The sequence below is a fragment of the Homo sapiens genome, chromosome 5 (genome assembly GCF_000001405.40).
Source record: "Homo sapiens chromosome 5, GRCh38.p14 Primary Assembly".
In the NCBI taxonomy this organism is placed as follows: domain Eukaryota; kingdom Metazoa; phylum Chordata; class Mammalia; order Primates; family Hominidae; genus Homo; species Homo sapiens.
In genome coordinates, this window is record NC_000005.10 from 94060684 (window position 1) to 94075133 (window position 14450).

The 14450-nt window shown below is 36.9% G+C and overlaps 1 protein-coding gene across 32 annotated transcripts in view; it reads right to left on the bottom strand.

The window, feature by feature from the left end:
• ARB2A (ARB2 cotranscriptional regulator A) overlaps positions 1 to 14450 on the bottom strand; it is a 493975-nt gene that overhangs the window by 442959 nt on the left and 36566 nt on the right. For 17 of the 32 annotated variants that reach the window (NR_028080.1, XR_007058646.1, XM_005272105.5 and 14 more), the window contains exon 2: positions 13963 to 14086. The exons of 14 other annotated variants lie outside the window; for them this stretch is intronic. Coding sequence is in view for 15 of the 18 variants with exons in the window: in XM_005272105.5 (XP_005272162.1) it covers positions 13963 to 14068 (106 nt within the window). In the remaining 3 variants the exon portion in view is untranslated. Of the gene's footprint in view, positions 1 to 13962; positions 14087 to 14450 lie in introns of those variants that run through there. One more of the 32 variants, XM_047417815.1, reaches the window with a different exon arrangement.

Sequence of the window (14450 nt, forward strand, 5' to 3'; positions counted from 1 at the left end):
CAATTCTAGACAAAGACAGTACAAAAAAAGAACACCCCAGTTCAATATCTCTAATGGACCTGGACACAAAAATCTTCAACAAAATATTAATTCAAAACCAGCAATATATAAAAACAAATTACATCAGAACCAAACAGGGCTTATGACAGAACGGTTCACTATTCAAAAAATCAACATGTAATCCACTATTTCAACAGGCTACAGAAGAAAAAAAATACATGACCCTATCAACTGATGCAAAAAATAAAAGGATTTGACAAAAATTCAACACTCGGCCAGGTGCGGTGGCTAACGCCTGTAATCCCAGCACTTTCGGAGGCCGAGACAGGTGGATCACGAGGTCAGGATATCAAGATCATCCTGGCTAACACGGTGAAACCCTGTCTCTACTAAAAATACAAAAAATTAGCCGGGCATGGTGGCGGGTGCCTGTAGTCCCAGCTACTCAGGAGGCTGAGGCAGGAGAACGGTGTGAACCCGGGAGGCAGAGCTTGCAATGAGCCAAGACTGCGCCACTGCACTCCAGCCTGGGCGACAGAGCAAGACTCCGTCTCAAAAAAGAAAAAAAAATCAACACTCACTCATGATTAAAACCTCCCAGCAAGCATCGAATAAAAGGGCCTTCTTCAACATGATAAGGAGCGTTTACCAAAAAACTTACAACTAACGTAATGCTTAATAGTGAAAGACAATCCTTTTCCCTCAAGGTTGAAAACAAGAAAGAATATCCATCCTCACTATTCTTGTTCAACATAGTACTGAAAGTCCTAGTCAACACAGGCCACAAAGAAAAATAAAAGGCACATAGATTTGATAGAAACATTATCCAATTTGCAAATGACATGATTGTCTACGTAGAAAATCCTAAGGAATCCATAAAAGAATCTCCTAGAACAAACAAGCAAGTTCAGGAAGATCACAGTATATAATATCAACACACAAAACTTAATTGTATTTTCATAAACCATCAATAAACATGTGTAAACTGAAATTATAAACATAACACCATTTATAATCACTCCAAAAAATTAAAATACTTACATATAAAGCAAATAACAGGTATAGGATTTACATGCTGAAAATTACAGAGTGCTAATGAAAGAAATCAAGGAAGATTTAAATAGACATATCAGGTGAATGGATTAGAAGACTCAATATTATAGATATCAATTCTCCCCAAATTTATCTAAAAGTTTAAATACAATTCCTATCAAAATTGCAGTAAAGTTTTTTGCAGATATAGACAAGTATATTCTAAAATGCATACATAAAGGCAAATGATCTAGAATAGCTAAACAATTTTCTAAAAGAATAAAGGAAAAATCACTGTTCAATGTTAACTTACTATATAGCTACTGTAATTAAGAGAGTGTGGTATTGGTAAACACATAGATCCAGGAAACAAAATAAAGAACTCAAAAACAACTGTCCAAATATGCCCAATTCATGGTTGACAGGCACGAAAAAGCAATTCAAAGATGAAAAGACAGTCTTCTTCACAAATGGTGCTGGTATAAGAGGACATCAAAATGATAAAAATGAACCTCAACCTATATCTCACATCTTACATAAAATTTAACTCAAAATGAGGGGGAGGTGCTTCAAGAAGGCTGCCTAGAGGCATTTGGTACTCACCTTATCTACAAAGAAGAGCCAAAATGCAAGTAAATAATCACATCTCAAACAGGTCGTCGAAGATAGAACACTCTAATTTAATAGAAAAGTGACAAGAAACACCCAAAAAGCAAAGATAAAAAGGGAAACGAGGCAACCTGCTTAGCTGAGATCAGCTGGGAGCCTGGAGAGGCTCCCCAGTGTGGGAAAAGGATAAGTGAAAGACCCCCAGCAGTTCAAATTCCCACCACAGACCCCTGCAATCCTAGCCATGCAAGAGCTCCTCAAACCCCATGGGCCCTGAGAATAAAGTAGGAAGCTGCCTGAAGACTGTGCAATGCCATGGCTCTAGAGAAGGAGCTCATGCTGAGCCATACACAACTCCTGAGTCCCAAGCAGCTACGGTAAGGTGCCATTTTGAGAGCCCAGCCCCTATAGAGCTGCATTCTGTCCCCAGGAGCCAACAGCCCCACATCTCCACATCACTGGATCCCCACTGACATCACCTGCCTACAGCGACTGCTGCAGCCTGGCTAATGCCACCTGGGCAAAAATGCAAGCCATTAGCAGCAACCCCATTGCCCCAAACAGCAAAACCATGGCACATTTTCACATGTCCTGAGGATACACTCCCCTAAGCATGGCAGCCCCACAGCAGGCTGCTGCCACTGGGGCCAAAGCACAAGCAAAGCATGCAATCCCAACCATTTATCTATGGCTAGAGCCACTGAAAGCAACTTCACCCTCCCTAGCATAGGGCGGTGGTGCAGTCACTGCCGCCCATACTTGAGCATTCCACTGAGGGGCCTAGAAATAACCCCACCCCCGCCTACCAGAGCCAAGGTCTACATGTACCACAGGTGGTGGGAAGAGGGCAGGTCCACCTGGCCTGGCACACCCCCTAGCAAGAGCCTGAGCAAGCCATCCAGGGGCCTGGGGATTGCCAAGCACCAGTCCACCACCACTGTCACCTAAGTACTCCTCCTAGGGGCCTCAGAATGGGCCCATCCAATTGCTGCTACCAACACAGTCATAAACCTCACACATGCCACCTGCAGGCCTGGGCACTGTCCTGCCTAGCCTGTCGTACCTACCATCAACAAAATCGTGAACTGCTCAGAACTCAGAGGTTAGTCCTACTACTGCTACTACCATAGCCCATACCATACCCACTGTTCAGAGACCCAAGAACCCATCCACTGGCCTGACCCACTGGTGCCACTATAGGCACACAAGTAAGCCACCTAGAGATCCAACAATCAACTGCAATAGACTACCCAACACCAGTGCCAGCATATGCCTCCCTGGAACCTAAGGACAGGCAGGCTGTGCCTGTGCTGCCAAAACTAGAGCCCAAGGAATAGCCTACCTGGTATCCCTGTCCCCAGCAAAACCTCACCACAGCCTCCACTAACAACTGCACTCTAAGCCACTGACACCACTAATGAGGTTTACAGCTGAAAAAAATCATACAGAAATTACATGACTGCACACACCCAGAATCAAAGCCAAAGTACTCTACTCAACCAACACCATAGATACATTTTAAGAAAAAATCATCCATTATGATAGCAAATTCAAAAAATTGGAAGAGTTGATTCTCACACCAGATACCCAGATATCAATGTAAATATATAAGAAACATTAAAAAAACAAGGACACTTCAAAAGGAGCACAATAACTCTCTGGCAACAGATTCCAATCAAAGAGAAATTTATGAAATCCCAGAAAAAGAATTTAAAATTATTTTAAAGAAGCTCAGTAAGATACAAGGGAATACAAAAAAGCAGTAAAAAGAAATCAGAAAAACAACTCAGGATATGAATGAGAAATTTACCAAAAAGATGGACAGATATAAAAAAAGAACCAATCAGAAATCCTGGAACTGAAGATTTCACTGAATGAAAGATGAAACATATTGAAAAGCTTCAATAACAGGCTAGATCAAGCAGACCAATGCATTTCAGAACACAAAGACAGGTCTTTTGAAATAGCTCAATCAGACAAAAAATAAAGAAAAAACAATGAGCAAGGGCTATGTGATATATGGAATACCATAAAGCTATAAAATACTTGAATTTGTGGTGTCCCAGAAGGCAAAGAGAAAACAAAAGGGTTAGAAACCCTATTTAATAAATAGCTAAAAAACTTTCAACGTCTAGAAAGAGATTTAGGCTTCCAGATACAAGAAGCACATAAATCCCCAATCAAATACAATGTAAAAAGATCTTCTCCATCACATATTATAGTCAAACTGTCAGAAGTCAAAGAAAGAATTCTAAAAACAGCACAAGGACAGTAGCCACTCACTTAGAAGGGAACTTCTATCAGACTAATAGCACATTGCTCAACAGAACCTTACGGGCCAAGACGAAATGGGATAACATATTCAAAGTGCCGAAAGAGAGAAAACTGCCAGCCAAGGATGCTATATCCAGAAAAGTTTTCCTTCATAAGTGAAGAAGAAATGAAGTCTTTCCCAAACAAGCAAAAACAGAGAATTCATCACTACTAGACCAGATCTAAGAGAACTGCTTAAGGGAATCTTAAACCTGGATGCAAAGGGAAGATATCTAGCACCATGTAAAGGCACAACAGAATAAAACTCACTGTTAGAGGAAACACACAAATTCGAAGGGAAAGAACTCAAATGTTACCACTATAGAAAACAACCAAACTACAACAATAAACAATAAGAGAAAAAGAAAAAAACAAAGGATATTAATGCAATAAGAATCAATAAATAAAATTTTAGAAATAAGCCCTCGCATATCAATAATAACCTTTAATATAAATGAATTAAACTTTCAATAAAAGACAGAGACTTGCTGAATGGATTTTAAAACATGGCCCAACTACATGCTGACTACAAAACACTCATCTTATCTGTAAAGACACATAAACTGAAAGAACAGGGATGGAGAAAGACATTCTGACTGGGCACAGTGGCTCACGCCTGTAATCTCAGCACTTTGGGGGGCTGAGGCAGGCAGATCACTTGAGCTCAGGAGTTTGTGACTAGCCTGGCCTACATGGTGAAACCCCATATCTCCAAAAAATATACAAATTAGTCGGGGATGGTGGCACATGCCTGTAGTCCCAGATACTCAAGAGGCTGAGGTGGGAGGATCGCTTGAGCCCAGGAGGTAGATGTTGCAGTGAGCTGTGATCATATTACTGCACTCCAGCCTGGGTGACACAGTGAGACCCTGTCTCCAAAAAAAGAAAAAGAGAAAGACATTCCATGCAAACGAAAACCAAAAGTGAGCAGGAGTAGCTATATTTATATCAGATAAAGCAGAATTTAAGTCAAAAGCAGTAAAAAGAGACTAAGAAGGTCATTATATAATGATAAAGGAATCAATTCAGCAATAGAATATAACAATTCTAAACATATATGCACTCAACACTGGAGCATACAGACATATAAAGCAAACATTATTAGATCTAAAGAGAAAGATAGATTCCAATAAAATAATAGTTGGGGACTTTAATTCTTCACTCTCAGCATTAGACAGATCATCTAGGCAGAATATTAACAAAGAAACAGATTTAAACTACACATTAGATCAAATGGACCAAACAGACATTTACAGAACATTTCATCCAAGAGCTGCAGAGTATACATTTTCTTCATATCAACACATGGAGCATTCTCCAGGATAGACCATATGTTAGGCCACAAAACAAGACTCAACAAATTTTACCAAAAAAAAATCATATCATGTATGAAATCAATAAAAAGAAGAACTTCAGAAAATGTACAAATACATGGAAACTAAACTTGCTTCTGAATGAGCACTGAGTCAAGGAAGAAATTATGAAAAAATAAAGACTGCCTTGAAGCAAATGAAAACCAAACACGACATACCAAAACCTACGCAAAACAGAAAACGCAAGGGTAAAAGGAAACGATACAGCAATAAATGACTACATCAAAAAAGTAGAAAGATTTCAAATAATCTAAGGATGCACCTCAATGAAGAGAAGAAAAAACCAAACCCAAAATTAGAAAGGATAAAATAATAAAGAGCAGAATTATATGAAATACAGATAAAAAAATCAACAAAATAAAAGGTAACTTTTTTGAAAAAGATAAATTTCTAAACAGCTTGCCAGACTAAGCACACACACACACACACACACACACACACACACACACACACACATAAAAACCCAGGAGACCCAGATAAAATCAGTAATGATAAAGGAATCAATACAATTACCACAGTAATAGAAAAGGTCATAACAGACTATTATAAACAACTGTACAAGCTGGAAAACCTACAGGAAGTGAATAAATTCCTGGACAAATAAAATCTACCAAGATTGAATCAGGAAGAAATAGAAAACCTGAACAGACCAGTTGTGAGTAATGAGATCAAATAGTAATAAAAAGTCTCCCAACAAAGAAAAGTTCAGGACCATATGGCTTTACTACTGAATTCTACCAAATGTCTAAAGAAAAACTAACACAATTTCTCCTCAAACTATTCCAAAAAAATGAAGAGGAGGGAACGGAACTCTCCTTAACTCATTTTATAAGGCTAGAATTACCTTGATATCAAAACCAGACAAGATTGCAACAAAAAAAGAAAACTTCGGGCCAATATTCCTGACAAACATAGGTGTAAAATTACTCAATAAAATAACAATAAACCAGATTCAACAGCACATCAAAAAGGTAACACATCATTATCAAGTAGGATTTACCTAGAAATGCAAGGATGGTTCAACATATGCAAATCAATTAGTGTGATACAGCACATCAACAGAATGAAGAACAAAAACCATATGATCATCTCAGTAGATGCAGTGAAAGCATTTGATAAAATTCAACAACCTCCCTGATAAAAACACTCTCAACAAAGTAGGCATTGAAAAAATATATCTCAACATAATAAAGGTCATATGTAACAAACTCACAACAAACATCATAATGAATGGAGAAAAGTTGAAAGCTTTTCCTCTAAAAACTGGAACAACACAAGGATGCCCACTTTCACTACTCCTATTCAGCATGGTACAGAATGTCCTTTTCAGAAAAATCAGGCAAGAGAACAAAATAAAAAGCATCCAAATTGGAAAAGAAGTCAAATTGTCCTTTTGCATCTGATATAATCTTATATATAGAAAAACCTAAAGACTCCACCAATAAACTTGTAGCTCTTATAAATTCAATAAATAACAGTATATAGAATCAACATAGAAAAATCATTAGTGTTTCTAAATTCCAATAATAAATGAGCTGAGAAAGTGATCAAAAAGGCAAACTCATTTACAACAGCTATAAGAAAAATACCTAGGAATAAATTTAACCAAAGAGGTGAAAAACCTCTACAAGGAAAACTATAAAACATTAATGAGAGAAATTGAAGAGGACACAGACAAATGGAAAGACATTCCATGCTCATAGACTGGAATAATTCAATGACCATACTGCTCAAAGCAACCTACAGATTCAACGCAATCCCTTTTAAAATACCAATGACATTCCTCACAGAAATAGAGAAAAACAAAAAACACTAAATTCAAATGGAAACAAAAAAGAGCTCAAATAGCCAAAACAATGTGAGCAAAAGGAACACAGCTGGAGAGATCATGCTAACCTGACTTCGAAATACATTACAAAGTTACAGTAACCAAAACAGCATAATATTATTATTTTAAAAATAAAAGACTTGTAAGGCCAGGCACAGTGGCTCATGCCTGTAATCCCAGCACTTTGGGAGGCCGAAGTGTGCGGATCACTTTGTTACCGGCAGGTCTTTTTTCTTACAGCTCCCAAGATGGTGGTGGGCTACTCCCAACATGGCAGCAAGCCTTTTGTTCTCTGACCTGGGGTTCCTGGCCTCACGGATTCCAAGGAATGGAACCTTGGGCCATGCGGTGAGTGTTATAGCTCTATTAGAAGCTGTGGAACCCAGCAACTAGTGTTCAGCTCAATTAGGACAAACCTGGGCACTTAGCCATGCAGGAACAATGGCGAGCCTCTAGCCCAATTGGGAGCGGCAATGGGCACCTTGCTGGATCAGGAGCACAACGGACACCTGCCAGATCCGGAGGGGTGGAAGTCAGTGGCAGGTCTGCGAAGGTGGCAAACAGCAGTGGTGGATGGGGAGCGAAAGCTCAGCTCGAGCAGTAACAAACATGGACCAGAAGAGTATGCAGTTGCAAGATTTAATAGAGTGAAAACAGAGCTCCCATAAAATGGGAGGGGACCCAAAGGGGGTTGCCACTGCCAGTTCGAATGCCTGGGTTTATATCCAGATCACTGTCCCTCCCCCTGTGCTCTCAGGCAATATATGATTTGACTATTTCTTTACCTCCTGCCTTTAGCCTAATTTGTATTTTAGTGAGCCCTCTTTACTACCTGATTGGTCGGGTGTGAGCTAAGTTATAAGCCCCATGTTTAAAAGTGGGTGCAGTCACCTTCCCCAGCTAGGCTTAGGAATTCTTAGTAGGCCTAGGAAATCCAGCTAGTCCTGTCTCTCAACTTGAGGTCAGGAGTTCAAGACCAACCAGCCTGGCATACATGGTGAAACCCCGTCTCTACTAAAAATACAAAAAAAAAAAAAAAAAAAAAAAGGAGCCAGGTGTGGTGGTGGGCACCTGTAATCCCAGCTACTCAGGAGGCTGAGACTAGAGAATCGCTTGAACCCAGGAGGCAGAGGTTGCAGTGAGCCGAGATCGTGCCATTGCACTCCAGCCTCGGCAACAATAGTGAAACTCTGTCTTAAAAAGATAGATAGATAGATAGATAGATAGATAGATAGATAGATAGATAGATAGACTAATGGAACAGAATAGCAGTATAGAGAACCCAGAAATAAATCCACATATTTACAGTCAACTGATTTTCAACAAAGGCACCAAGACTATACACTGGGGAAAGAACACCCTCTTAAGTAAATGATTCTGGAAAAACTAAATATCTATACGTAGAAGAATGAAACTGGAGCCCCATCATTCATCTATAAAAATCAACTCAAGATGGATTAAAGATTTAAATGTAAGACCTGAAATTACAAAGCTAGTAGAATGAAACACAGGGGAAACATTTCAGGACACTGGTCTAGGCAAAGATTTTTATGGTTAAAGCCTTTTGAGAAAGCATTAACAAAAAAAGACAAATGGGACTACATTAAACTAAACAGCTCCTACACAGCAAAGAAAACAATTAACAGAATGAAGAGACAAACTATTGCATGGGAGAAAATATTCACAAACTATTTATCCAACAAAGTATTGATAATCCAGAATACACAAGGAAATCAAACAATTCAGCAGTAAAAAACAAAAAATAATCCCATTAAAACGTGGGCAAAGGACATAAATAAACATTTCTAAAAAGAAGGCATACAAATGGCCAATAGGTATGTTAAAAAACACTCAATTTCACTAATCATTAGGGAAATGCAAGCTAAAACCACAATTAGATATCCTCTCACCCCAGTTAGAATGGCTATTATTAAAAAGACAAAAAATAACAGAAGCTGATGAGGCTGTAGAGAAAAGGGAATTCTTATACACTGTTGTTAAGAATGTAAATCTGTATAACCTCCATGGAAAACAGTATGGGCATTTCTCAAAATACTACAAATGGAACTACCATACAAGCCAGCATGTGCACTACTAGGTATGTATTCACAGAAAAGGAATCAGTATATCTAAAGGATAATTGCATTGCATGTTTATTGCAGCATTATTCACAATAGCAGTGATATGGAATCAACCTAAGAGTCCATCAACAGATGAATGGATAAAGAAAATGTGATATAATATACACAATGGAATACTATTTGACCATAAGAAATGTGATATATATATACAAAAAGGAAAACTATACATCCATAAGAAGAATAAAATCATGTCATTTGTAGCAAGATGGATGGAACTGGAAGTTACTGTGTTAAGTGAAATAAGTCAGGTACAGAAAGACACAGTGCATGTTCTCACTCACATGTGAGAGATAAAAAAGTTGATCTCATGGAAGTAGGGAGTAGAATGATAGCTATCAGAGAAGTGTGTGGGTGATGGTGCACAGAAGGAAACAATGAAGAGAGTTTTTTTAATGGGTAGAAACATACAGTTAGATAGAAGGGATAAGTTCTAATGTTCAATAGCATATAGGGTGATTAAAGTTAACAACAAAGTATTATATATTTCAAGATAGCTAGAAGAGAGGACTTAAAATGTTCCCAACACATAGAAATCATAAACACTTGGGGCAATGGATAATGGAAATATCCTAACTTGAACATTACACATTCTATGCATATAACAAAATATCACATGTACCCCATAAGTATGTACAAACACATATCAATAAAACAAAGAGAATGAAAAGACAATCCAAAGACTGGGAATGTTTACTAATCACATATCTTAAAAAGAAGTTGTATTCAGAACATATGAACAACTTCTAAAACTCAACAATAAGAACACAAACAAAAAAAGGGGGCAAAATTCTAGACTTTACCAAGAAAGATGTATATATGGCATATAATTCACCATTAGGAAAATGCAAATTAAACCACATAGAAACAAAAACCTGTGACAATGAGAAAAAAAGTCAACAAACCTGTCAATATTAATTGCTGATAAAGATGCCAAACTAAGAGAACTCTCATACATTATTGGTAGTAGTGAAAAATAATACAGGTACCTTGAAAAGTGGTGTTCTAGTTCTTACAAAGTTACTGTAGACGTACCATATTACCCAGCAGTCCTCCCCCTAGGTATCAACTCAGGACAAATGAAAATAAATATCCACATAAAAACCTGTTGATGAATGTTTTTAAAGACTGTATTCATAATCACCCAACCCTGGAAACAACACAAATGTCTAACATTTGGCAAATGGATAAGTAAAATATAGTTTATTCATTCAACAGAATAAAATTCAGCAATGAAACGAAACCTACTAATATATGTTTAAAAATTAACTGAAAATAGATCATTAATTTAAATGTGAAATATAAAACAAAACTTTTAGAAGAATGCATAGGAGAAAACCTTCATAAACTAGGACTAGGGAAAGAGTTCTTTGACATGACACTAAATGCACAGTTTATAAAAGAAAAAATTGATAAACAGGACTTCATCAGAATTAAAAATGTTTGCCCTACGAAAGACCTGTTAAGAGGGTGAAAGACAAGCTACAAACTGAGAGAAAATATTCACAAAGAATATATCCAATAGAGACTTGTATCTAGAAGATATAAAGAACTATCAAAACTCAATAGTTTTAAAAACTCCATTTAGAAAATGGACAAAAAATACGAATAGGTATTTTACCAGAGACAAGGTATAGATGGCAAATAAGCACATGAAAAGATGTATGGTCAACATCACTAGTGAGATATCACTATGTACCTAATAAAATGGCTAAAACTAAAACATAGTAATAATACCAAATGCTGAGGAGGATGTAGAGAAAGTGGTTCTTTCATACGTGACTGGTGGGAATGTAAAATGGTACAGCCACTCTGGAAAATAATTTGGTATTGTCTTATAAAGTTAGAAATGCAATTACCATATGACCCAGCAATCACATTCTTGGGCATTTAACCCAGAGATATGAAAACTTATGTTCACATAAAAACTTATACATGAATACACACAGTAAATTTATTTCTAATAATCAAAAACTGGAATCAATCCAAATGCCCTACAATGGGTCAATGGTTAAACAAAATGGCATATCTAGACAATGGAATATTACTCATCGGTAATAAACACAAATGAACTACTGATATTTACAAAAACTTGGATGGATCTCAAAGGCATTATACTTATTGAAGAAAGCCAATCTCAAAAAATTACATACCTTATGATTCCATTTCTATAACATCTATAAAATGACAAAACTAAAGGGATGGAGAACAGATTAATGATTGCCAGGAGACAGAGATGAAGTTGGCAGTTGGGGACATTCCTACAAATGGGTAACAGAAGGGACTTGCTAGTGGTGGAACACTTCTGTATCTTGAATGTTTGTGGTCATGGTTGCACAACACAATACATAGGATCGAATTGCACAGAACTCCAAACACACTCACACACACACACACACAAATTACTGCATACAAAACCTAATGGAAATTGAATAATGACCGTGTTTTAGTTAACAGTACTGTACCAATATCTTGGTTTTGATGTACTATTAGCCATATAAGATGTTACCATTAGGCTATGACAAATAATGATCGTAACAACTCAACATTAATGTCCAGAATAATTTTTAATAAAGGCACTATAGCAAAATGCAGGCATTTTTGAAGGGGCCTGGGGTTAGAGGGCGGTGGTAAATAAAAACTAATACATACGAACTAAGAGGACTAGATACAGAACATATTTTCAGAAATCCAGGTAAAATGGGTCAACAAATCAGTAAGAGGCAGTAAACTAAAACCCTGTAAAACTGGCCAAGGGAAAAAGTAATATTTTTAAGAAATGCAAGAATTCTTTACAAGCATATCTTCATTGCCATCTCCAAAAGAGATGACATAACTTTCTTGTGAATAATATGCCTTCCTTTAATTATAACAGTCATCACCATCTTCCTTACCATCTTCATTATTACAGCAAACTAATTCAAACTACTTTCTTCCAGCATGCACTGCTTTAACCCCGCTCATCTTGAGTTGTACCTGACATTTTTCTCACCACTAATATATTTTTATGAGATTTTTCTACCATCTATGCCTTATCTGAAGCACTTTTCAATTAGGGAAAAGTTAAATCACCTCCAAGAGTGCATCTTGCCATGTAAACGTGAAATCCTCTAATGAACAGCAGAGAGTGATCATCATTAGTTCACTGTTTTACATATCATAGCTCGGTTTTGAATAAACTCAAGAATAAAACTGTCTTCCTGTTAAGTTTAGAACAAATCAGTTTGCTAACTTGTTCTAAAATATACTTTACTATGCATTTGCCATTTTATTTTCTAATATTTCCAGTTTACTCCTCCCTTAACCCTTACACCCCCATTTGTACCCAGCATTATTATTCCTATAGTACAGATGAAGAGAAAGATTCAGAGAAGTTAAGCAACTTGCCCATGGTAAGAAGGAAAACCTTGAGTTTGAATCCAGATAGTTACAAGATCCAGAGAAGTTAAGCAACTTGTTCATGTTAAGAAGGAAAACCTTGAATTTGAATCCAGATAGTTCTATCTCTAGAACCTATCTACTCTTTTAACATCACTGTACTACCTCTAAAATCCAGAAAATCAATCTGAACTCACATACTGCTTGCAGGAGTACAAATCAGAACCACAACTTGGGAGATCAAATTTTCACATTAAGGCTGAACATGCACAAAATCTATCTAGGTGGAAACCCAGCATGTCTATTTAGACAGAAACTGTGACATACATTACTTGCCCTCACTCCTAAATTGTCCATTATTCTGAGCGTGCTGGATCCTTCCCAGCAACATACAAGCATGCAGTAAAACCTTCTATAGGGTTGTTTACAGCTGTCTCCAATTCCTCTCTTTCCATTCTCTGCTGAAAGTTCTCCAATCAGGCTTTCATTTCTATTTATTGAAACAGCTCTTTGTGAAGGTCAAATGACCTCCACATGGTCAAAGGCAAAAGTAAATTCTCAGTTCTCATCTAATCTGACCCATCACCAGATATGACTTTAATTAATTACTCCCATTTAATTTTTTCATTTGGTATTCGGGATCTCTCCCTTGTTCCTGATTCTTAACCTATTTTACTAAAAATTACTTTTCAGCCTCTTTTGCTACTTTCTGCTCAGCTTCCTGACCCTAAAGGTCTCAGTGCCCATAGCTATCTCACAATTCAACAACAGACACTTCTTTTCGAAGTCAAATTACTTTAGATAGCAGATTTATTTTTTAATTCTAGGATTCAAATTTCCATAACAATGTCTAACGCAGATTCCTTCCAAAACGTTAACATGTATAAACCTCTCATAAAATATCAGTAATGCCAATGCCACAAAGGCAGAATACAGAAACAGACAGATCATTACCCTAATCCAGTATGACATTCCAAGCAGAAAACATAAGGTAAAGGCACTAGCCTTGATTCAAAAAACTTATTAATTTTATTATTAAATGTATGACATTGAGTAAGAAAAGCATTAATAATTCTTATAGATGCAAAATTACATGATCCCGTGATTTATTTACTGAGTACATACATCTCAGATGCAGTAATAGTTGCTGTGAGGGATATAAATAATTGCAAATACTTTAGGTACTTATATTCTTATTTTAGATTTGAAATGAATGGAAGGTCACCTAAATATTCCTACACCTTTATTAGGCACAATGAAAATTTCCTGAAAAAGCAAATTAAGTATGTACCTTTCAGTGCGGTAGTCTTTTCTTTTTCATCTGGACCTCCCTGCTGGATTTGTGCCATGTTTATCCAAATTGGCAACAAAATTAAAGAGCTCAAGGAAATAGACATCAATCTTCAGAAGACAGTCTAGAATGAATGAAAGCAATAAATTAAGTTCTACTCAAAACCTATCTATTCCACGAGAACTTCCTTGATCCTCCCAGTCAGGATTAATCTCTCTATGCTAATTTCCCACTTTGTTGATGCCTATGCCATAGTACTTATTATTGTCTGCTTTGCATTATACTTATTTATGAATTTATCTGAGTCAGCTAATGGCATACAAGCCACAGGAATACAGACATCAAGTTTTTGTCATCTTTCTCTCATGTCCACCAAACACAATACCTTATACATTACAGTTACCTAATGTTTGCTGAATTTAGCCAAACTTACCATTTAGTTTTAGTTACCTATCACCTAATGTTTTTAAAAAATATCTTTGGGTAGT